Source organism: Homo sapiens, chromosome 1 (assembly GCF_000001405.40).
Source record: "Homo sapiens chromosome 1, GRCh38.p14 Primary Assembly".
Lineage (NCBI taxonomy): Eukaryota > Metazoa > Chordata > Mammalia > Primates > Hominidae > Homo > Homo sapiens.
Window position 1 is genome coordinate 157,675,812 of NC_000001.11, and position 25,620 is coordinate 157,701,431.

Here is a 25,620-nt window from a genome sequence, read left to right on the forward strand (position 1 = left end):
GAAAAGCTGCAGACACTCAATGACAGTCATGAAAGCAGCTGGGATGGGGGCTGTACCCTGCAAAGCCACAAAGGCAGAGCTGCCCAAGGCCATGCAAGCCCACTCTTTGCATCAGTGTGCCCTGGATGTGAGACGTGGAGTCAAAGGAGATTATGTTGGAGCTTTAAGATGTAATGACTGCCCCACTGAATTTTGGACCTGCATGGGGCCTGTAGCCTCTTTGTTTTGGCCAATTTCTCCCATTTAAAATGGAAGCATTTATCCAATGCCTGTATCCCCATTGTATCTTGGAAGTAACTGACTTGCTTTTAATTTCACAGGCTCCTAGTTGGAAGGGACTTGCCTTGTCTCAGATGAGACTTTGGACTTGGCTTTTTGTATTAAGGCTGGAATGAGTTAAGACTTTAAGGGACTGTTGGGAAGTCATGATTGTATTTTGAAATGTGAAAACATGGGATTTGGAAGAGGTCGAGGCAGAATGATATGGTTTCACTCTGTGTCCCCACCCAAATCTGATCTTGATAAAATTAAAATAATCTTTTTAATATACGTTAGTGACAAAACCTAAGCTTCTCATGTGGCTTTCTATTTGGTAAACCATGAGTGAGAATAGGCTCTGATGTAAAGATATACTAAAAGGGTAAGTGTGAGAAAGACAGTGGAAACTGGTACTTTTTCCAATGGTCTTTTATTTTCAAAGGCTCCACTAAAATTACTTTTTTTAGATTTCTGGGCTATGGGTTTTTAGTTGTGAATTCAAAGATAAAAGTCAAGTAGAGCACTGCATGAGAATAATTCATTTTACAGGGCAATCAATCAGAATTTGCACATTTGTTATATCCGAGATGTACAGTTAGGACTCACCCCTTCTTCCACTCACATACTCTGATTTGCACAGGGCTAAGTGTTACAAAGACATGGAAAATCTTGAACTTTGTTCTTTCTTGGGTTCAGAATCTAGAAAATGGATAAACAATGATAAGAGATGACAGGTCCCTTAGAGAAAGTTCACTATAAGGCACAAAGGGGCTTGGCAAGGTAATTCCAAATCAGCAGCAGGGTTAGAAAGGAGGAGAGCCTCCATATACAGCCTGGTGGTTGGTACCCAAAACCGGTTTACATATTTTCACCATAGAGAAAAAAACAGCAGAATGTATCACATAGAAGACAGAGACATTTGCCTCCTCCCTCTTCAAGGGACCTTAAAATTTTAATGCCAATATGAACATGAACTGGCAGAGATCAGCATCTCAGTACGGGCAGGACATCATGCCCTGCACTCAAAGGCCAGGATAAGGGTAACAGAGGCCAGTGGGAGCAGTGTGGATTGATCATCACATTTTTTGAGGCCAGCAGCTGTGGCTTAGCTGGCTTTGCTGGTCGTAATGGAGGACAAAAGTGCCTTCTGGTGAAACTCAGCTTCCATAGTGATGGAACCTAAGGGTAGCAGAGTTTATGGTGACCCTGTAGTGTATCTCCAGAAATGGTGATTGTTTGAATGCATGTAAGACATTCCCTAGGGACTCCAAGAAATATTGATTAGAGGAAGATGTGGTGCTTTGAAAGGGACTTGGTGTTCCTACATGAACCAAGTGAAGGCCTAGAATTGGCAACATTCAGAGATTAATGTTAATATAATCTCAGTTGTCCCTAGGACTTGAGGTGTTCAGAGATATTTGGAAACATCAGGATTTCAGAATGGAGGTGAAGTCACTGAAAATTGTTGGTACATTTTCATTTTTGTCATATTAAAAATTCAACACACTGTGGAAAGAGTTTTTGATGGTGATAGCTAGGAAAACATTAAGCCAGATATTTTACACAAGTAAATACTAAACAGCAATAAAAACAAATGAACTATAGCAACACGCAACAATATGGATGAATCTTAGAAATACAACATGAAGAGAAAGTACTAAAAAAAATTATCTACAACAATATGGTCTTTAACTTATAGTTAAAACTAATATAAAAACATATTTAAGGAAAACATGTAGATACATTAATATGATAGAAATAGGAGAGCATGGGAATAATGAACATGAGATTTAGAATGGTTTTTTATCAGATGGAGTGAGGTAGAGGAAGAGAATGGGAGAAGCCACATAGATATAGTAGGTTATTGTCTCGGGGTTAATGGGTGCTTATAAGAATAAAACTGACTGACTAGAAATCTATCATGTATGGCAAATGATGAGACTATGTCATGAAGCAAAAATTACAATTAATGTGATTCTTCACACATAAGGTCTTTGCAGTGGGGATACAAGTCACATATTAAACTAGCAGAGTCTTTAATGAAATGCTGAAGTTATTTTTCATCATAACTAGGGTAATTTGGTTGGGAATGTCACCCTGTAAGTACAAAAATACACTTCAGATAGAGTCACCTTAAATTCTTGTTCTATAACTTCTTTTGGCTGTTCCCAATATGGTAGCAAGGATACAGCATATACACCAAAACATCAGCAATGCCACTACCAGCCACACAAAAAAGGGAAACAAAATATTTGGAGCAAATTGTTTATACAGAGAGCACATTAACAGCTTTCGATCACACTTGGATCAAATGGTCATGATTGTGCCCTTGTAACCCTGGCTAGACCATTTCTCTCTCCTCCTCTATTCGACAGCCCTAGGAGCTGAGGGCCCTCCTGCCTTGCCACGTGTCTCCACTGTGAAAATAACACAGTGCTTGCTCAGAGGCTGCCTGCTCTCTTCCTGGGGAACACACAGATCAGGCACAGGGGAGATTTGCAGACCTTTTGCTCAGCCTCACATACCCTGCAGCCCAGCCTCGTAGGAGGCAGAGTCTGGAGAGATGGATGATGTGTGGTTGGAGAGAACAGAAAAAAAAATGGTGCAGGCTGTTTCCTGTGGGCCACTCTGGGTAAGGGGCTAGTGGTCTGAGGCCAGTAATACACGTGGTACATTCTCATAGTTTTCTTCATCATCTTCTTCATGGGCCCTGCCTCTGCTGCTAGCCTCCCCTGCAGAGTCGTCTGGGTGTGTCTTCTTCAGTTCTGAATAGAGGACTGTAAGTTCCTGGTAGAAAAAAACACAAAAGGTAAGTACCTAAATACAGGAGAGGAAGGCCAGAGAGGAAAGAAAGCCAAGAAATGTGACTCACCTCATGCTCTTGATGCATCATTGGACAATTAGCTGTTGGGTAGGAGTAGCAAAGAAAAGTATTAAACTGTGGGCAATATATTCCAACTTACAACGTACGCACACTGCATTCCAAACCAATCTTCTTGATTTGCTTGATCTCTTGCTGTTTCCTCTGCTGGATTCTTCCAAACCCACATAGAAAAAGTACTCCAAGCCAATCTTCTTGATTTGCTTGATCTCTTGACTGTTTCCTCTGTTGGATTCTTCCAAACCCAAATAGAAAAAGTACTGCCCCAAGCACAAACACTAATAAAGACTTTCCTCTGCCCACCAAATGCCCAGAACTATTTTCATGACAATTTCCTTCTTGCTCCTCTGCTCATTATAACCCCAGAGGGGCACCCACCCCCAATCCACTGCAGACTTCTATGGCTGTATTGATCCTCTGGGAGAAGGAGGCAGATATGAGTCACTTCACTTGCACAGGGAAATTGGAAGAGACCAGAGAGGAGATTGGCATTCTAAGGCCACATGACAATTTCCCAGGAAGCCAAAGAGTTGCATTGGAGCATTGAGAAAATTTAGTGTGTGTGTATGTTTTCTACCTTTCCAAGGGGCTGTTTGTATCTCTTTTATTTATTTGTGCAGCCAATAAGCAATGCCTTCTATTAGGCATTAGGTAAGGTATAAGGAGATAGAAATGACAGAAACTCCTGGACAACATAGTGAAACCCTGTCTCTACTAAAAATACAAAATTTAGCTGGGCATGGTGATGCATGCCTGTAATCCCGGCTACTTAGGAAGCTAAGGCAGGAGAATCCCTTGAACCCAGGAGGCAGAAGTTGAAATGAGCCAAGATCGCACTGCTGCACTCCAGCCTGGGCGACAGAACGAGACCCCATCTCACAAAAAAAAAAAAAAAAAAAAAAAAAAAAAATGACAGAAACTCAGTTCATGTGATCAAGAATCCTATAATTTTGAAGGGGAGAAATGGACATAGAAATAAATGCAACAAGCATTATGGGCACCAAGACAGAAATACATATTGAACTATGTTGTTACCATAAAGAATAAATGTCTCCTCCCAGATTAGAATATGGAAAGGGTAGTTGGCATCAGTGTGAGTTTCACTGTTACCTGATCTATGTCTTGAAATATGAGTAGGGGTCACCAAGTAGACTAGAGGAAAGGACATTTCAAGACCAGTAAGAAACATGAGCACCAAGCATAAAGGTGCCAAGAGTTCAGTATGGCTAGAGGAAGAACATTAGGCAAAGCTTGCAGGAGGAGCCAGCGTGCAGAAGGCAAAGATCATGCTTTGGAATGGGTGTCATTGAGGGCAGTTAATCTAGGCACTGATGTGAACAATAGAGCACCTCAAAGGGATCATGCTGGAAATAGATTTTGGGAAGGCTGGAGGAGAACAGTAGTAGAAATAAAGAGACCAGTTAAAAGAATGACAATTGTCTCCACATTTGATTATTCACTCATTAATTCAAACAATATTTTAGGGGGCCTACAGTTTTCCAAGCATTGAGCTAAATGCTGTGAATACATTAGTGAAAAAGTCACAGTGTCTGTCCTCAAAGAATTTATGGGATCATGGTGGCAGTATGTAAAGGTAAGAAGAAATGGATAGATTCTACAGCTGACACTATGGGAGGCAAGTAATGCCTTGCGTGTTGGGCTTGTATTTGAAATAACTCTGATCAAAGACCCCTTGCCCGTTTCAATAAAACACTGCCACCTCACCTCTATTTGCCTGAAAGGCATCTTACCTGAGTTTTCTTTTGTATGCTGGATGCTCCAGATCTGGGAATAAATCGGGTTGCTATCTCCAGGATTTACTGTGAGAGAAGATATCATAGTTGGTTGCAGTCAAGAGCTCATATTCTAGACTCTACTTCCCAATCACCAAATTCATAACCAACTTCTATTCCCAGTGTAATGCTAGGAATGTCATTTTTAAATTTGTGACAGGGCCATGGGCTGTCGCTCAATCCCTCTTCCCTCCCTGGCTCCTCCCTAGAGCCTTCTGCCCCCTAGGGAGTCCTCACCATTGCTGTACATTGGCTCCAGCTCCATTGGGGCTAGTGGTTTAGAGTGAGTGGGCTCTTGAGGGTCTATCCTGGAAGGCCTGGACGAGGAAGGCTCCTGACACTCACTAGGACTGTGACTGTGACAGAGGGGGAGAGAATGGATTAAAAAGTATCTGTGGGTTACACAGAATTTCAGGGAAATCAATATTCTGGAAGTCCTCCAGTCCAGCATGATTCAAGTAAAAATATTGTGTCTGCTTCTGCTTGGGTCTTTTTTTTTAATTTTATTATTATTATACTTTAAGTTTTAGGGTACATCTGCACAATGTGCAGGTTTGTTACATATGTATATATGTGCCATGCTGGTGTCCTGCACCCATTAACTCGTCATTTAGAATTAGGTATATCTCCTAATGCTATCCCTCTCCCCTCCCCCCACCCCAAAACAGTCCCCAGAGTGTGATGTTCCCCTTCCTGTGTCCATGTGTTCTCATTATTCAATTCCCACCTATGAGTGAGAACATGCGGTGTTTGGTTTTTTGTTCTTGCGATAGTTTGCTGAGAATGATGGTTTCCAGTTTCATCCATGTTCCTACAAAGGACATGAACTCATCATTTTTTACAGCTGCATAGTATTCCATGGTGTATATGTGCCACATTTTCTTAATCCAGTCTATTGTTGTTGGACATTTGGGTTGGTTCCAAGTCTTTGCTATTGTGAATAGTGCCACAATAAACATATGTATGCATGTGTCTTTATAGCAGGATGATTTATAATCCTTTGGGTATATACTCAGTAATGGGATGGCTGGGTCAAATGGTATTTCTACTTCTAGATCCCTGAGGAATCGCCACACTGACTTCCACAATGGTTGAACTAGTTTACAGTCCCACCAACAGTGTAAAAGTGTTCCTATTTCTCCACATCTTCTCCAGCACCTGTTGTTTCCTGACTTTTTAATGATCGCCATTCTAACTGGTGTGAGATGGTATCTCATTGTGGTTTTGATTTGCATTTCTCTGATGGCCAGTGATGATGAGCATTTTTTCATGTGTTTTTTGGCTGCATAAATGTCTTCTTTTGAGAAGTGTCTGTTCATATCCTTTGCCCACTTTTTGATGGGGTTGTTTGTTTTTTTCTTGTAAATTTGTTTGAGTTCATCGTAGATTCCGGATATTAGCCGTTTGTCAGATGAGTAGGTTGCGAAAATTTTCTCCCATTTTGTGGGTTGCCTGTTCACTCTGATGGTAATTTCTTTTGCTGTGCAGAAGCTCTTTAGTTTAATTAGATCCCATTTGTCAATTTTGGCTTTTGTTGCCATTGCTTTTGGTGTTTTAGACACGAAGTCCTTGCCCATGCCTATGTCCTGAATGGTATTGCCTAGGTTTTCTTCTAGGGTTTTTATGGTTTTAGGTCTAACATTTAAGTCTTTAATCCATCTTGAATTAATTTTTGTATAAGGTGTAAGGAAGGGATCCAGTTTCAGCTTTCTACATATGGTTAGCCAGTTTTCCCAGCACCATTTATTAATAAAGTATCAGAAGACTTATGGCACAAGGTGAAGCCCAGGGAAGCATTACAAAACAGGACAGCCAAGGCAAGGCCAGAGGGCCAGCAGCCTCAGGGCCTCTTTGAAAGGCAAAAACTCATATTTGACTAATTTTAAATGTTATTTTTGAAGATGTAAATGATTAAACACTGATACACAAAGACCTCTGCATTCTTACAGAACTTAAACCTTGTCTTTTTTAAAAGGTCCCTTTCAGTTTTACACCTCATATTACAATAATCTACCTTTCCTGCAAGATGCCATGCGAGCTCTTCAAGTAAAGTGGATTTTTTTCCAATTTCATTTCCTTCTGCAGTTAATATTGTGAATTGAACATTGCCAGCATTCAATAATAATTTCCCAAATGAGTGGAAGAATGAGGAAGAAGGAAATGAATGCACTGTAGCCCTATGAAAGGTAATGCCATTAAGACATTAGTGGTCAAGTCTCTGCTGGAACACATTTAAGGAAGTAGATAAATTAACATAGATAGCCAATAACATGTATTGTGTTTAAGTAGAGACAGTGAATATCGTTCACAAATATAAGTGAAAGTGACATTCACTTATATCTACTTTTTTATTTTGTAAGAACGTAAAAATGCTACTAGGAAATCCATTGAAATTTAAAAAAAAACATAAACAAGTCTCGTGCATATAAATAAATCATGAAAATGTTGGCAGCACAAGAAGCAGAGACCTCACCTAGATGTTCCAGTGGCAGAAAGTCCTCCTGCAAAACAAACAAAGGAAGGTTGGTGGTAAGTGAGCTGTGTAAATAATGAACTCTCTGTTAGAACATTTTTTCCTAGAAATCAGATTCATTCTAGATCTAAGCTACGGAAAAACTCAAGGATTATCCAGCTCCACCCTCCTTACTCCCCCTATGTTATGTTATAGGTCAGGAAGGTGGGGTCTTGAAAGGCATTTGCCCAGAGTCACACTCATTCTGAATCATTTTTCAATCAGTAATAGGTGAATAGCAACTCTAAGTAGTTGTGACTGAGTAGGTCACAACCTGGGTCAGGTGCTCCCCTCAAACCCACTTCTTCATCCTGACTGCAGCCCTACAAAGTGGAGACAAGGAGACTGAGGCCTAGAGGGGCCAAGGGATGCTCAAAATGGATACAGAATTCCTTCACTAATATGAATCAATGGGACTACCATGATAAGCTCTACCTTCTCTTTCTCTAACTGTGACCCCTCACCCCTGCAAGTCTATTCCAGCAACACTGAACTGCAAATCATGTGGGTATGTAATGGCTTTTCCACACCTCTTCTCTCCTTCTCTTTCACTTGGCTAGCTCCGATTTATCTTTCTTCCAGAGCTGTCCCTGATGCCAACAGGCTGGATTAAGTAAACTGTCTCCATGCACATAAGACCATGTAATATTAAAATTACTATATTGTTTCGTAATTATTTATTTCTATTTGCCTCTATTTCTCTCTTTCATGAAAGGGTGTGCTACTTGAGGCTGTAAACCTCATCTTAAATTTTTTTGTATTCCTAATATCATGCTTAGCAGTTAAAAATATTCAACAAAGATGTGTTAAACAACTGAACAAAGTATTTACTTTGAGGACTTAAAAATAACAAATTGACAATTTTCTAAAAGGAGATTGCCTGTTAGAAGTCTATCCTTGAAGCCAAATCTATCAGACTTAAAAATATGGCAAGTTTCCGTCATCACCGAAATATTGAATCTTTCAGGCTTGCCCCAATACAAGCCTTATCCAGGTTCCCATCCTTGTCCTTTGCCTTTTTAAAATCTGTGGCTCTAATCGGTCTCATTGGCTTAGAGAATGCAAGTCGTTGCTCAAAATAAACATACCAGCCTTGACTCTCATGAAAAATAACTGAGTAACTCCCTGTTCCTCAGGGAGTGGGACTCCTGAGTTAAGCTAGAGGGGTATGATCAGGATCTGGTCCTGAATCTCCTCAGAGCAATCACAATCCACATCAGTCAATAACCAGTATCTTTTCTGTGGGTGGTTAGCTCCGACCTAGAATGCATCTGGGAGTCAGTCTATCTCCTTATCTGTAAAAGAGAAAACTGAGACCTAGACAGGTGGCTATTTATTATACAAGCTAATATTCCTTGAAGACATATGGGCCAGCACGGTGCTAAGCAGTTTACCTAGGTTGTGTCATAGTACCTAAAAGGTAGATACTGTTATTATTATAACCACTTCATAGATGAAGAAACTGAGTTTAGTGAGTTTAACTTATTTGCCCAATATCAAGTTGGCAAGTTTTGTTACTGGAATTTCAACACAGCCAGATTTACTATAGAGTCAAAAAACCTATCATTCCTTTTAGGAGTGATTCACTCAGGCAAGGAGCAGAGCCCTTAACTTTTAGAAAAATGTAGAAGGTCTGAGCTTCTTCCTGAGAAGTCTTGTCAATGGTGAGAAGGGAGACTTTGCTATGAGGAGGTACAATAAGCAAGATTTTGAGAAAAGAAGAGCACAGACCCTCTGCTTGGTGAACTGTCCTAATTCCTTAGTGAGTTTGTTATTTAAAATAACACTTCCCCTAAGTCTGGGGGACAGACCACCTGGGCTTCTGTTCACATGGATCATGTGAAATGATTGTCAGTTTTCTCTCCTGGTGCTGTGCTGACTGACAACCTCAACACTGAGATTCAAATGTCTTCTTTTAGTATGTTATAGATTAGAAAATGGCATCCCAGATAAACAATGAGAGGAAAAAAAGAAAAGTAATTTTGGAAGTAGGAGGTGTGACTAGCCTTCTATAAGTAATATAATTTCACTTGAAAACAGCAATAAGTTGAAGATGTATACTATAAGCCCTAAAGCAATCACCAGAGTAACAAAACAAATAATTATTGCTTCCAACAAGAAAACTTAACTATTCTAAATATATATGCACCCAACATTGCAGCACCCAGAATCATAAAACAAGTTCCTCTTGATCTACAAAAAAACCTGGACAGTCACACAATAATAGTGGGAGATTTCAATATCCCACTGACAGAGTTAGACAGATCATCGAGGCAGAAAACTGACAAAGAAACTCTGGACTTTGTCAGAAAACTGACAAAGAAACTTGACACTTGACCAAATAGACCTAACACACATCTACAGAATATTCTATCCGGCAACTATGGAATATACATTCTTCTCACCTGCATGTGGAACATATCCTAGGATCAGCCATATGCTGGGCCATAAAGCAGATATCAATAAATTTTTTTAAAAAATCATACCAAGTACACTCTTAGACTACAGTGCAATAAAAATAGAAATAAATATCAAGAAGATCTCTCAAAACTAACAAATACATGGAAATTAGACAACTTACTCCTGAATAACTCCTGGGTAAAGATAAAAATTAATGCATAAATAAAAAAATTTTTTTTAATTAATGAAAAAGGGACACAACTATGCATGTCCACTATCACTACGCCTATTCAAGATAGTCCTGAAATTCCTAGCCAGAGCAACCAGGCAAGAGAAAGAAATAAAAAGCACCCAAATAGCTAAATAAGTCACACTTTCTCTTTTCACTGACTGCATGACTCTCTAACTTGAAAGCCCTCAAGACTCTGCCAAGAGTAAGGTTTCAGGACACAAAATTAAGGTACAAAAACCAGTAGCATTTCTATACATCAACAAAGTCAGGCAAAGAGTTAAATCAATGGTACAATTCCATTTTGAATAGCCACAAAGAAAATGAAATACCTAGGAATACAGCTAACAAAGGAGGTGAAAGATCTCTGCGAGAAATTAAAAAAAAAAATGCTGAAATAAAGACAACACAAATAAATGGAAAAATATTGCATGCTCATAGATTGGAAGAATTAATATTGTTAAAATGGCCATACTGCCCAAAGAAATTTACAGATTCAATATTATTCCTATCAAATTACCAATATCATTCTTCACAGAATTAGAAAAATCTATTTTAAAATTCATATGGAACCAAAAAAGAGCCCAAATAGCCAAAGCATTCCTAAGCAAAGACAGCAAAGCTGAAGGCATCACACCTCACAACTTCAAACTATACTATAAGCCTACAGTAATCAAAATAGTATAGTACTGATACAAAAACAGACACATAGACCAACGGAATGGAATAGAAAACTCAGAAATAAAGATTCACACCTACAACCATCTGATCTTTGCCAAGGCTAACAAAAAGAAGCAATGGGGAAATGACTGTCTATTCAATAAATGGTGCTGGGATAACTTGCTAGCCATATTCAGAAAACTGAAACTAGACCCCTACTTTTCACCATATACAAAACTTAATTCAGGATGGATCAAAGATTTAAATGTAGGACTCCAAACTATAAAATTCCTAGAGGAAAACCTAGGAAATACAATCCTTGACATCAGCTTTGGCCAAGAATTTTTGGCTAAGTTCCCAAAGCAATTGCAACAAAAACAAAAATTGACAAGTGTGACTTAATTAAACTAAAGAGCTTCTGCACGGCAAAAGAAATTATCAACAGAGTAAACAGGCAACCTATAGAATGGGAGAAAATATTAGGAAACTATGCATCTGACAGAAGTCTAATGTTGAGACCTGTAAGGAACTTAAACAAATCAACAAGCAAAAACCAAATAACCCCATTAAAATATAAGTGAAGGACATGAACAGCCACTTCTCAAAAGAAGTCAAGCAAGCAGCCAACAAACATAAAAAAATGCTCAACATCACTAATCTCCAGAGAAATGGAAATCAAAACCACCATCAGATACTATCTCACACCAGTCAGAATGGCTATTACTTAAAAGTCAGAAAACAATAGGTGCTGGTGAGGCTGAGGAGAAAAGGGAATGCTTATACACTGTTGGTGGGAATTTAAGTTAGTTTAACCACTGTGGAAAGGGGTTTGGAGATTTCTCAAAGAACTTATAATAGAGCTACCATTCAACCTAGTAATTCTGTTATTGGTATACGCTCACAAAAAAATAAATCATTCTGTCAAAAAGACACATGCACTCATATGTTCATTGCCATACTATTCACAATAGCAAAGATATGGTATCAATCTAGGTGCCCACCAGTGGTAGACTGGATAAAGAAAATGTGGTACATATACACCATGGAATACTACGCAGACATAAAAAAATGAAATCATGTCTTTTGCAGCAACATAGATTTAACTGGAGGCCATAATCATAAACCAACTAACACAAGAACAGAAAACCAAATACCACATGTTCTCACTTATAAGTGGGACCTAAACATTGAGCAAACATGGACATAAACATGGGAACAACAGACACTGTGGACTACTAGATGGGGGAGATGGGGAGGAATGTGTGAGTTGAAAAACTACCTATTGGGTACTATGCTTACTATCTGGGTGACAGGATCTGTACCCCAAATCTCAATATCATGCAATATAACCATGTAACCAATCCACACATTTACCCCTTACATCTAAAATAAAAGTTGAAAATTTTTAAAAAGTTATGGCTATTATACTAACAAAGGAAGTAAAATAGAATTAAAAAATCAATTATTCCAAAAATAAGTCAAAGTAAAGCAAAAAATAGATGTGACAAATAGAAAGCAAATAGCAAAATAGACATGAAACCTAATCATATCAATAATTACACTAGTGCAAATGGTCTAAACACCTCATTTTAAAGGCAGACTACAATATTAAACTAAACAAAACCGGCAAGAATTAGCTGCATGCTATCTATTAAAAATTAACTTTAAATATAGGGGTACAAATAGGCTAAAAGCAAAAGGATGGAAAAAAATCACATGCTAACACTAATTATATTAACATATTAATATTAGACAAAGACTGTTTCACAGTAAGTGATTCAACCAGGGATACAGAGGGTCATTTCATAAGGATAAAGTGGATAATTCATCAAAAACATGAAAATTCTTAACACTTATCCACCTAATAATGAGCAATTCCAAATTCTGGAAGCAAAACTTGATAGAATTGCAGAAGAAATGGATAAATTCACAATTACAGTTAAAGATTTTAATTCCCCTATCTCAGTAATTGATAGATCAGGTAGACAAAAAATCAGTAAGGATATAGAGGAATTGAGAAACATTATCAATCAAATTCACTGGCAGGCAGTCATACTGTAAGAAATGTTAAAAAAAAAAAAAAGGTCCTTCAGGCAGAACAAAATTGATACCAGGTGAAAATATGGCTATATAAAAAGGAATGAAAAATTCTGGAAGTGGTAACTGAGTAAGTATTCCTTTGAGACCAAATCATAAAAAGACATTTCTAGAAATGAAAGCTAACAACAAATTTTCCTCATAAACATGGACGTAAACATCCTTTGCAAAATTTTAGCAAATCAAATCAACAGTCATGACCAAGTTGGGTTGACCCCAGAAATATAAGGCTACTTCGACATTCAAAATTCACCTTATCAATAGACTAAAAAAAATCTCATTACTATCTCAATAAATGTAGAAAAATCATTTTACAAAAATTTATTTGTGTAAAATCTCTCAGCAAATTAGGAATAGGAGGGACTTCCTCCACCAGATAAACAGCATTGAAAAAAACCCATGGCTAAAGTAATCTGTAATGGGGAGAGATTGAATACTTTCCCCCTAAGATCTGGAATGTGATAAGAATATTTTCTCTCACCACTTGCACTCAGCATTGTACAGGAGGTTCTAACCAGTGCAATTAAGCAAGAACAAGAAGTAAAAGAAATTAATATTGGAAAGGAAAGAGTTAAACTATCTTTCTTTGCAGACAACATGATCATCTATATAGAACATCTGATGAAATCTGCAAAAGAGATACTGAACTAATAAGTCAGTCTAGCAAGATTTCAGGATATAAAATTAATATTAAAATTAGTTGTGTTTCTATACACTAGCAACAATCGGAAATTGAATTTTTAATCTCATTTTTGGCATTCTTTATTTATTTTATCCAATTTCACTACATTTAGCTGGCATTCAAATATATCTCGGAGTTTATGGTCACCTCTATGATGATTTATTTATTTTTTGTTACAAATGAAGGACTTTCTTAGGGAGATAGAACATGAGTTAATTAATTTTCTAATTTTTAATTGGAAGCAAAACTCTGCTACCTAATATAAATCTCAAATTAAACACATGAGGTAAAAATTTTATTGAGAAGTTTATTCTATTGTTTTTGCTACAATTGCCTACAGAGTGACAGTGAGTAGTGGAACTGAGGGCCTAGTACTTGGAAGGGAATACTTGACCTTTATAGGGTGCACCAGACAACTTCAAATTATTATAGCAACGGCAAAATCACATCACAAGGTAGGACCTAGACACCCACCTGGTTTCCTTCGGGCCCTGGCGTAATGCAGCAGAGCAGCAGCAGCAGCAAGGACGAGGATGCTGAGCACCAGCCCCGTGATTCCCGCAGCGGTAAGGCCTGTTCTGTTCCTGGAAGTTCCTGAGTGGAGGGAGCTGTACTTGAGTTTCAGTGGCACAGGTTTTGGATACAGACAAAATCATGCAAGTAGGGTGAGTGTGTTCCAGTTTCTGATTCCTCCTGTAGCATCATTTGTAATTTTCAAAACTATGGCATATGAAAGGTATTCTCCAGCATCTAAGATTAAAATGTATTTCCTTTCCCTCTCCCATATAAAATCAGTACCAATCTCCAGAAGTCCCAAGCCTTCGTGTGCATGTTCAAAACCTCCTTGGTGCTAGTAGAATTTGTACAATCTGTCAGATAACTATTTTATTTACCATAACTGTGACCTCTAGCCCAGGTACTATTAACACACCTGTAACATTGAGTGTCACCACTTTACTGTGCTGGGCCCCCAGGCCATTGTCAGCCTCACATGAGTAGTTTCCAGAATGTTCTGTAGTCAGAGAGAGGTTGAAGGATGCCCCTCCTCCAGAGTGGGCCGAGATGTTCCCCAAGGTGTCATCCTCGTGATAAAACCAGTACAGGATCGGGAAGGAGCCTCTCAGGGACTCACAGTGAAGCTCCAGCAGGTCCCCCACCACAGCCTGGGCCCCGGGAGCCCTGAGGGTGAGGACGGGGCGAGACACCGGAACTGAGGGAGGAAAAATAGTTCACTGGCAGTTTTACTTAAGTAGGTATACAAGAGAACTTAATAAAGGAATATGCAGCATAGTTGAGTTGCGGGAACATGCACCTGGATTCTGGAGAACCTGGGCTTCAATCCTGTCTCTATCCTTTATTAGCTCTATAAGCTTGATTTTTTAAGAACTTTTTAATTTCTCTAAGTCTTAGTTTATTCCTCTGTAAAACTGAGTTAATGATACATTATATCTCAAGCTATTGTAATAAAAATCATATTGCATGTAAAGTACTATAAAAATTGGTTATTATTATTGATAAAAATATAGCTAAAATCAAGGTTTCTAAAATTCCTACACCTGAATCTTAGCTCTAAGACTGAGACTTCCATACCTATCTAAAGGCAGGACCCATTACTCTCTACCTAATCACCTTGCTTTATTTTTCTACATAGCATTTAGCACTACCTGACATCTGTCTATGTATGTATGTATGTATGTATGTATGTATGTATGTATCTATCTATCATCATTGTTTTATATGATTCCCCAATAGGATGGAGAATTATCTGTTTGTTCGTTGCTGTATTTATAGCTGTTGGAACTTTGCCTGGCATATAAAATTTATGCTCAATAATTGATGATTGAATGGAAAACTGAAGTGAACCAAACTGTCAAAAAAAATCCAGATATAGCTCTAGCAACAATGATTTCTATTTTAATGAACAATTAAAGAAATGGCATAGTGGGAAGAATAGAAAGCCCTTAATATCGAATGTTAACTGTAAGATTGCTGGTTCTGCAAAGTTGTGAGGAAAACTGGATGAACCAATCTGTGTGTAGTGCTTTAGATATAAGCCGTGTGCTTTATTGGCAAGGGTAACTTGATAAGGATCTTAAGCTCTGCTTTCCATCGCAGATGGGCTAAAGGGAATGAGTGTGAATGTGGAAACTATTCACTGAATGGCAATGATTAAACTTGAAAATGAGCCATCTGCTGGCTGCAAGAAAGATAGCACCAGCTGCCTCATCAGGATAGAGGTGCCAAGTCCTGATATTGGAAGTGTAGAGTTCCTGCTAAATTGAAACAGATGGTTTGAATTTGTCCCTTCTGTATAGCCTCTAAATATGAAGTGACCTGGGCGGGATGCAGAGGGCCTCAGGGGTGAGTCTTTTGTATGGTGCTTTGTGATCTCACTGTGCCTTTCACTCATGTCTCTGGGTGTTCGTATTCTGGAAAGAGAGATTTCCAACCTCTTGCATCCCCTCCTCTAGGGCTCATGGGACCTCTGGTTCTGAATGCATATTCCCCTAAAATCAAAGAACTTGAAGACTGAAAAAGACCATGGTTATTGTCAACTTAAGTGGTCTCCAAGATGGGCTATAAGACACCAGATTGAAGTGTAAGAAGAAAATATGAGAACATTTAAGAGTATTTCTTTTTGAGCTTGAAATTTAAAAAGATATTCAGCTTTACTAATATTCATGGTGGTGCTCTTGCTCAGGTAGATGTCACACTGTGTATTGGGATAGGACAGCGTTTTTTATGAAGGCAGGGCCACCCAGGCACGGAGGGTGGGACAGCAGTGCCTTGGCTTGTTAGTTAACTCTCAGCATATGGAACATAATGCCCTTTTAATTGGCTACTTAAGTGTTTTTACAGATTATTTTAATTTAAATCATAAAATATATTTTTTATTTTTTAATTTAATTTCTGTATTCTTTTTTTGTTTTTTTGAGACAGGGTCTCACTCTGTTGCCCAGCCTGGAGTACAGTGGTGCAATCATGACTCACTGAAGCCTTGACCTCCTGGGCTCAAGTGATCCTGCTTCTTCAGCCTCCAGAGTAGCTGGGATTACCGGATCATGCCACCACGCCTTGCTATTCTTTTGTATTTTTAGTAAAGACAGGGTTTCCCCATGTTGCCCAGGCTGGTCTAAACTCTTGGGCTCAAGCAATCCTTCCTTGGCCTCCCAAAGTGCTGGGATTACAGGCATGAGCCACTGTGCCTGGCCAAATCATAAAAGATTTACAATGCTTTGTAATGAGATTGGGGAGTGACCTCAAACCTTTTTGTATCACATGAAAGTTCACTTATTTTGTGGCAAAGTTCTAAAAAGAGGAATTAAATGTAAAGATACGTTACGTGTTTTTCCATGAAGAAAGATTAGTATTTAATTTTTGTTGACTTTTTGGTGATCAGTGGCTACTGACAATGTTAATACTTAGCAAACACTTTAAAAAGTGACTTTTAACAGTATTTCATATTGCTAATGCTTTTCTAAACTTATGCTATGGAGATAATATTTTGGAAAATAGTTGTTTAAAAATATTTACATTTCTATGTCGTCTTATTACCAGAAAATGTAAGTATGTCAACTTTAAAAATTTATATCTGCACCTTTAAAAATCCATGGAAACAGAACATGGCAACCAAAGTTTAAACATGTTCGATAGAAATTCAACATGCAGTGGCTGGGCGTGGTGGCTCATGCCTGTAATTCTAGCACTTTGGGAGGCTGTCGCGGGTAGATTCCCTGAGCTCAGAAGTTCGAGACCAGCCTGGGCAACATGACGAAAACCCGTCTCTACTAAAAATACAAAATTTGCAGGGCGTGGTAGCCTGCCTCTGTAATCCTAGCTACTGGAGAGGCTGAGGCAGAAGAATCGCTTGAACCTGGGAGGTGGAGGTTGCAGTGAGCTGAGATAGTGCAACTGCACTCCAGCCAGGGCAACAGAGTAAGACTCCATCTCAAAAAAAAAAAAAAAAAAAAAGGAAATTCAACATGCAGCACTTCCTACTTACTTTACAAGAACAACTAATGAACATCAACAAAAACATAAACTTATTAACCAAATTTCAATGAAAACCCTTGCATAGTTAGACTATGGGATTGAAAAATGAGTATCATGGAATTGAAAGAGCAGCAGTGATGATCTGCTTCCACTTGGATGTAGATATATTGGTAAGATAAAGCTTTAAGCAGTAACAGACACTAAAACTAATAGGAATAAGGCCAAACTCAGAACCAAACCTCAAATAATTGTACCACCATAAGTAAACTAAGATTTTCAAAGTAAATGAAGCATATTCAATTATAATAATTTTAGTCAAATATTCTAAATCAAAGATTTTAAAATATTGTTTATTTCATTTTCTTTCTCTCCTTCCTTCCTTCCTTCCTTCCTCCCTTCCTTCCTTCCTTTCTCTCTCTCTCTCTCTCTTTCTTTCTTTCTTCCTTTCGTTGACATGGTATCACTCTGTTGCCCAGGCTGGAGTGCAGTTGTGCAATCTTGGCTCACTGCAGTCTCAACCTCTTGGGTTCAAGTGGTCCTCCCACCTCAGCCTCCCAAGTATCTGAGAGTACAGGCGCATGCCACCATGCCCAACTGAATTTTGTATTTTTTTGTAGAGACAGGGGTTTCTCCATATTGCCCACGCTGGTCTCAAACTCCTAAGCTCAAGTGATTTGCCCACCTCGGCCTCCCAAAATGCTAGGATTACAGGCATGAGCCACTGCACCCGGCCCCTTATTTAATTTCTATTTTTTCTGTTTGTTTTGTAATGTGCCCATTAAGTTAATACAGTAGTACATGTATATAATTAACACACAAATATATGTTATTAATATACATATATGTGGGGTATGTGTTAAATACTTTTGATGGAGAGTGGTGCGAGATCCAGAATTCTTATACCCCCATGATTTGCTGACTCAATTACTTTATAAGGGAGGAAAATAAGCACAAGACTAGTAAGAAGACTTATTCAAGGTTAAACAAATGATATTTTCTTGTTCAAGACTCGAGTCTCTGTTTCAGCACACTGTCTGGCATTCCCAGATTTTAATACCTCCTTAAATCATTACCCAAGTTTGGCCTATAGGAAGGATTATTATTAACCAAAATGTCATAAGTGTTCTAATAGTCTGGAATCATTGGAGAACAAGAGTCCATGGCAAAATCCAGAGAATGTATGGGTTTGTGTGACTGGGAATTATTACCATATCTCTCTTATTTTGCCATCTTCTCCTAGGTCCCAGTGCCCTCTCCCATCCTCCAAATGCTGAGCCCTTTGGGATAACCATGACTTGGACTGGAGGTTCTCTTCTAAATGATTGGGCACATTGCTAATTGTTCTTAGGGGCTGGACATGGGAAATACGAGATGCCCTGGTGCCTCTGCTGAAGGAAAATTTTGTTAGGGGATACTGAGAACATCAGATTAAATGAGACCCAATCAGAAGGCATTTGAAAAAAGTGAGAAGGTTAGATAGGTCACTAGAATCTGGAGGCCATGAAAGAGGCCTGCTGCTGTGATCCTAGTGGCTGACAGAGAACCCACAGAAGTGGGTATCCATGAAGAGAGACACTTTAATGATCCAGGGAGCCAAGTGGGAATTTAGATTGAGATAGGGGCAGAAAACTGTGGCAAGGGATGATCCAGTCATTTTTTTCCTGGGCAAAGGAATTCAGAAATAAAGGCTTTCTGTGCCATTTTCCTTTGTCAGTAATTGCTGACCCATCACGTGTTTGGTATTCTGGTAAGCCTTCGTGCCTCTACCAGAAAAAAAAATGAATGGGGTATATGGATGGCTGTTGATGATAATTACAGAGGAATTAAAAAAAGGAATGGTCTAAGTTACTAAATGTGTAATCACTAGGAAGAATCCCAGAACTCCCAGGTGGAGTCAGAAAGAGTGGGAAGTCTATTGGGATATCAACCAGCAAATAGCCCAGTGGAGCTATTTCTGAGAAGACATGATCTGTTGTATTGGCTGTTAACTGCTGTGGGTATATCTTGCTTACCTGTGACCCTGAGACTCACTCCATGACTGTGCTGGGCCCCCAGGCCATTGTCTGCATCACAGGAGTAGTTTCCAGAATGTTCTGCAGTCAGAGAGAGGTTGAAGGAGGCTCCTCCTCCAGAGGGGGCTGAGCTGTTCCCCAGGGTGACATCCTCATGATAAAATCGGTACAGGATCGGGGGAGAGCCTCTCAGGGACTCACAGTGAAGCTCCAGCAGGTCCCCCACCACAGTGTGGGCCCTGGGAGCCCTGAAGGTGAGGACAGGGTGAGATACCGGAACTGAAGGAGACAAAAGGGCTGTCAGAGGATTCTGACGTTGTGACAGATGCACAACCTCTCTCAAGGAGCCTAGCAATGGATATGTCCCTTGTCCCTTGATTGTTTCTGTTTCCCCACTGATCACATTTTTCTTATCTAACAATCAGAAGCATTTCCCCAAAACAGTGAGAGGTAATCTTGGGTAGTTTTGTTTTCATCACCACTCAGTCTTCCCCGCAAGAAGTAAGGTGCTTCAACTTATTTTGCCATCTTTCCATTTCTTGGATAGCTTTTAAATATCTCTCTCTCTCTCTCTCCCCCTCTCTCTCTCTCTGTCCCCACCCCCCTCCCCTCCCTCCCTCCCCGTGCCTCTTTTAGGAGACCTTAGTGGCTGACAGAGAACCTAAACCCTGGCTTGCAACTCGAGGCTGTGTGAAAGGAATCGGAACTTACTTCTCACGGTGACTCGAATCCACGTGCTGAGGATGGGGCTGTGAACGTTATCAGCTGCACAGTAGTATCTCCCTGCATCACTCTCCTTCACGGTGAGAACATGCAGCTCTGCCAACAGGGAACGCTGGGTCTTTCTACCCAGGCTTCTTACTCTTCCTTCTTTGTGCCAGGAGAATGTGACAGTCCCTGAACCCTGGGCTACTGAGCAAATAAGGACCATATTTTCTCCTTCAATCAGCTGCCCTCCGGTGGGCCGGATCTCTAGATTCACATTAGACACAGGGACTCCTGGGGGAACACAAGATGGCATGTGAAGGTCCTGATGGCAGGGACATCAAGGTCAAGGGGAAGGCTGGAGCTACCATGAATAGGCCAATAGCAGCAGGTGCAGCAGGCAGAAGCCCAAAGTAGGAAATAAGAAATTAATTGTGTATACGATTATAAAGGAAGCAACATCCCTCTCACTCCCACAACATTCCCATCCTTGAGAAATGTGGGCACCAAGTCCATAATCTCCATAAATCCAATGTTTTCTGGTCACATTTTATATGCATTTATCTCTAAGGAATCTTTGATGCATCAATAAACCACAAAATAAAAGAGAACACTGGAGATCCTCTGTTTTGAAGATCAAAATAGAATCCAAACCCTTCTCCTATTCTTCAAGACTTCTCCAGATTTACATCCATGTCTCCATGTCTTTCTCTGACTATTACAGTTCATATTCATCTTCCCCTTTTCGGACTATTTTGTTGTGAGTTCAGGTTACCAAATGGAAGCACCACAGGGGCCTCTTAAAACTGCATGTGTTCAGTTGTGCTTCTAGTTGTCTCTTGATTCATGAGAGAACCGATCTTGTACATCTCTGTAACCCCATAGGGTTGGGCAATCAGTAACTGATCAATAATTACTATTACCTGACTCAAGTGGAAGAAAATGTTCTAGGGCTGTTAGACCAACGTTGAGCTTAAAGAGAGAAGATTACCAGAATAGCTGGACACTCCTCTCTGTTATGTCCACCATCCTAGGGGTGCAGGAGATATCACTGGCCTTCCTCTCCCCAGCTCTGACTCTGGAAGAGCAGCCCCTTAGACACTCACTCTGTACACGTATCTGAGATCTCAGGCTCCTTTTTTTGATGCTGTGAGTCACTGTCTCCACCTCACACCAGTAAGACCCTGAGTCTTCAGTCCACATGGCAGGGATCTGGAGTCTGGGGGACCTGCTCCAGCCCAATCCGAGGGTCTGGCTATCTCTGAAGAGGGAGAATTGCAGCTGGACATCTGGCCTCTGTGGAGAGAGCTGGGTCTCACAGGTCAGGGTCATGGGACTCCCCTCTATGGGCGTGGAAGAGCTGGCTCTCAGCACAGGATGTAGAAACAGCTCTAATGAAAAGAAACAACATAGTCTCCAGGGTGGTGAGGCTCAGAGTTCCTAGAGAGATGCATTTGTCATCTCAGCACCAGCCATCAGGAGATAGAGAAGCATGCAGAAGGAACCATCTCCCTCCCATGGCTGAGCCATAGGAGACTCTTTATGAAATTCCCACTGATAAACATCTTCCCTTTATCCCCAGTTTCCCTAACAAACCCAGTAATCCACAGGAATCTAGCCATTACCTTGAACTTGGATATTTAGGGGTTTTGAAGTTACTTCAATGTCAAGTATGTAAAACTTCCTATAAGCAGTACAATGATATTTGCTATTATCCCTGGAGACTGAATTCACTGTGATCTTCTCTAAATTATAACTATTAGGAAGCTGTTTTCCATCCTTGTAGTAAACCTTTTGATGAGTGTTTTTGTTGTCTTTCCCCTGACATCTCAGAATGACATTGTCTCCTTCAAAGACAGGATGTAAAGCCTGCAGGATCAGCCAGTCTGCAAAGAGCACAGGAGCACACTCAGGTTATCCCCTGCTGTTTCTGCCTTCACTTTCATTTCCACCCATGAGGCAAGAGCCACAGTTCTATACACACCTGCAAATGGCCCCCACCCACATTGCCATGTGGCCCCAAATACCTGATTCTTCCTTGCCCTACAAGGGTGAACCAATTCCCAGAAAATGTTCTTGAGAAATCTTCACATGTCTTTTCACAAAAGAGGAATCCCAGACTTGAACCCCTTTTTGCCTGATGGCCCCTGGGTCACCCACAATTCTTTGGAGGTAGATGGATAGACAATCCAGCATCATGCTGCTGCCCTATCTCTTTATTTTCCCCACTGGGGTCAGTGCATCAATCCCCATGTCTGCTTACAACTCTGCCTAGGATCCCTGCATTAACCCGGCCCTCAGGCATTCTGCCTGGTGGCTTGACTTTAGACACTCCCCTTCCATTCCTCACCAGGTGAAAATTCCACATGCACGGCATCACTGAGGGAGGATCCTCGGGTCTTACATTGGTAATTTCCAGGCTCTGTAATTTGGATCTTGTCATGTTTTATTTTCAACAACTTCTCATCGTGATACCAATATGTGTCTCCCTGGGCTAGGGAATGTGATATGCTGCTGCATATGAGAGCCACTTTTTCTCCTTTGAAGGCTGTGGACCATGGAGGATTGAGGAGAAGTACAGCTTTTGGGGCCACCCCTAAACAGGAAATAGAAAGATGAAGGCAGGGGAAGGTCAATGGGAGGTGGGCACAGCACATGGGGAGCCCAACCTACAGTCAGGAGTTTTCCTGGACTAATTTCCAGTCAGGACCAGGGTGGAAAATTGAGCAGAAATAACCTAGGGAAATGCCTGGGAAAGAATCTGTTCTTCCTCATCCATTTCCTGGAGGTGGGCAGAAGGGTATTATAGGGGAGAGGTCTCAGTTTCCTGGCATAGCCTCAGAAAAGCTCAGGAGATGTGATTTGCCATTGGGCAAAAACTGCGAAGGCCTCAGAATGTGGCTGATCCTGAAATTCTCTTGTCCTATACATTTCTGTCCAGATAAAGGTGAACCTGGGATGTATATACCTCAGAAGTAGTTTCTAGACTCCAGAAAATTACTTCCTACTTGTTAACACTTAAAATGAATAAGATTTTCTCACTTGTATTACTTTTATATCTCTCTTAGCTTTGAAAGTCTATGGGGAAGGCAACTTTACTCTCCATTTAAGTTGGACACAGTAAACAATGGAGGGATATAAAGAATTTAAATGGAGGAGGATGGGTTGCCTGAGAAGTCAGACTTGTGTATGGAATTGCAACTGACTGACAGGCATGGAAGTGAGGTGTGGCAGTGGCATGAGCTCTTTTTGGAGATTTATAAGGATTCTGCTGTAGCATCTTCCTCCGTGGATGGGATCTATTTCTATGTCCTTTGATAGCAGCACTAGCTTGGACATTCAGAGGGAGATGTACTAGAGAATATGGAGATCACATATGAGATTCCTTCATCATCAGCCTCTTGCCTCTGTCCTTTGCTCTGCAAGTGTTTCCTTCCTGTAGTCTGAGGAATACCGGTAATGTAGGGAGAAAAAAAAAAAAAAACCTAGAGACTGAAAAAGTCGGAGGAGGCTCTGTTCACCCAATATAGTAGCAGATGTGACCCCAGAGCATTAGCATTGCTGATGGGATGCGTGCCTGCAAGGGTTAGGGCAGGCTGTGTGGGCTGAGGGGACCAATATCCAGAGACCAGAGGGGCAGAGAGAAGGAGAAACTTACCTGATTGTTCTCTTCCAGGAGCTGTGAGGGAGCAGAAAATGACAATCAGACACTCTCCGAAACATTTTCTAACAACCTAACCACAACCACTTCTTTTGTTTTTCCTTATCATTTCTTTGCTCCCTTTTTATATCATCCAGAGCCCCTAAACAACAAAGAAAATGTCATATAATGTATTTTACAAACGTGATGGCTTATGTCCAAGGCCTGACCTCATCTCTGCTATTATTTACTTGGCCACGGCACACTTTATTCTCTCCTTCTCTTCTCTGAGTGCAGAGGCAGACAAGGACTTACAGAAATGGTTTATCCTCCTTTCGTTCCTTGGGCTCCTATTGTTCCCCTCACTTTTTCAATCTCTGATTAAATTTTGGCTTAAAACTTCTAGAAAACAGTGATGTTTCTCAGTAAACCTTCCTTCACGTGCCTAGGTTTTTAGAAGTAACTGCTCATCTGAAAAATTATTTAGTCTGAGGCTTAAGAGGGAGGGTGGGATATAGAGTTGTGGTTTGGCAGAAGGAAAAATCCAAGTTTCCTATGAGGTGAGAAAAGCAGTGGGTGAGAAACCAAGGTCAGGATATCTGGCTTGCTCTGATGGTTGCATTTGGAGCCTCTTGGTTGTCCAGGGAACCCAGCTCTGCTCACTTCCCATCCCTTGCTATCTGTCTCTGAACCCCAAGTAGAAGCAGAGATAGAAGCTCCTTGAGTTTTTCCCTGGTCACCTTTAGGAACTGAGGCCGTGGCCCCATTATAGCCCATCTACTCACTCAGGATCAGCAGCAGCAGCCACAGAAGCATGGGCACCGGCCGGGCAGAGGGTTGGGAAAGTCTGTCTCACCAAAAGCCCGACTTATCTCCAAGAAGGAGGGCAGGAAGCTGCTACTCAGATGAGACCTGCAAGAATCAGAAAAGGGAAGAAGAGCTTAGTGTCATATTTTGCTTTGGGCTCTGAAAATGTGAATGTGGCTACCTTCCTAAATGCTGTTTGTATCTCAATCCCGGTAGTGATACATTTTTAGAAGTTGGGGCTCATCTTCCATCAGCTGCAGTCTCTCAGGAGTAATGTCTCCAAGACTGTGCCTGGGTTCTCTAGAAATATCAAGTTGTGTATTTGCTAGTATTCAAATAATTCTTTCTGTATTTTTCATATGGGAAACCCCTTCACTACCTTGTCTTCACACAGCCTTTGGTTCTGCATGCAGCTCCTAATGTAGGCAAGCTTAATGAGCGTGGTGTGAATCACACAGTCAAGGTGTCAAGCATATGCCTTTTTGACTTTCACATAAGTTGTTATGAGGCTTCTGAACAGGAAAATAATACAAATGTACAGATCAAGGACTTCCCGTAATCTCACCCAGATCTGCAAATTAGGAGATAAATCAGCAAGCGTACCACCGTTTTTAAAGCCAAAGCCCTTCTCAGAAAGGGCTTTGCAATCAAAGAGGTTCCACCCCATTATTTTGTTTCAGGTCCTTTGTGTTTTTTTCACAGTGTTTATAACAATTTGCAATTATTTTCTCTATTTCCTTGTTTGCTTTCGTGTCTTCTTTCCCACTAACATTTAAGGGCCCCTTTTCTTACCCCTTATATCCCCCGCACCTCTAACTGTTCTTTCTTGAAAGCATTCCTTTAGTAAGTATTATTTGAGGGACTATTGAATAAAAACTCTGAACCAGTGTTTCTCAACCATTTTTTCGTTATTGCTCCCCTAAGGATCTTTTTTAGACAATTTTGTTTTTA

At 40.3% G+C, this 25,620-nt stretch overlaps 1 protein-coding gene and 1 long non-coding RNA gene across 8 annotated transcripts; one reads left to right on the forward strand and one right to left on the reverse strand.

Moving 5' to 3' along the window:
* On the reverse strand, positions 670-25,145 carry FCRL3 (Fc receptor like 3). 7 transcript variants are annotated; one of them, NR_135216.2, is made up of 16 exons: positions 24,851-24,958; positions 24,648-24,774; positions 23,881-23,901; positions 22,573-22,818; positions 21,848-22,108; positions 21,329-21,518; positions 20,229-20,516; positions 19,518-19,796; positions 14,444-14,722; positions 13,987-14,106; positions 7,406-7,433; positions 5,170-5,288; positions 4,891-4,959; positions 3,131-3,162; positions 2,784-3,045; positions 670-957 (listed from the first exon to the last, which is right to left on the reverse strand). NR_135216.2 is itself a non-coding variant. In NM_001320333.2 (16 exons), the coding sequence occupies exons 2-16, from the start codon at positions 24,676-24,678 to the stop codon at positions 901-903; spliced, it is 2,229 nt and encodes a 742-aa protein (NP_001307262.1). In that variant the 5' UTR covers positions 24,679-24,774; positions 24,851-24,958; the 3' UTR covers positions 670-900. The 7 variants fall into 7 exon arrangements, 3 of the variants coding, with proteins under 3 accessions (NP_001307262.1, XP_006711208.1, NP_443171.2); NR_135215.2 differs by having other exon boundaries at positions 21,329-21,613; NR_135214.2 differs by having other exon boundaries at positions 19,518-19,814; positions 21,329-21,613.
* On the forward strand, positions 19,618-20,833 carry FCRL3-AS1 (FCRL3 antisense RNA 1). The gene is made up of 2 exons (NR_199044.1): positions 19,618-19,771; positions 20,154-20,833. It is a non-coding gene; the product is annotated as an FCRL3 antisense RNA 1 (long non-coding RNA).

What these genes read in the sequence shown, in the direction of transcription:
- FCRL3 (NM_001320333.2), bottom strand. Translation starts at nt 24,678, where the DNA reads ATGCTTCTGTGGCTGCTGCTGCTGATCCTGA. An exon ending in CCTAAATATCCAAGTTCAAG is followed by an intron (nt 21,614 to 21,847) that starts GTAATGGCTAGA and finishes TCTTTTCATTAG; the next exon opens with AGCTGTTTCTACATCCTGTG. An exon ending in TCTGCCACTGGAACATCTAG is followed by an intron (nt 5,289 to 7,405) that starts GTGAGGTCTCTG and finishes CCTCTGTCACAG; the next exon opens with TCACAGTCCTAGTGAGTGTC.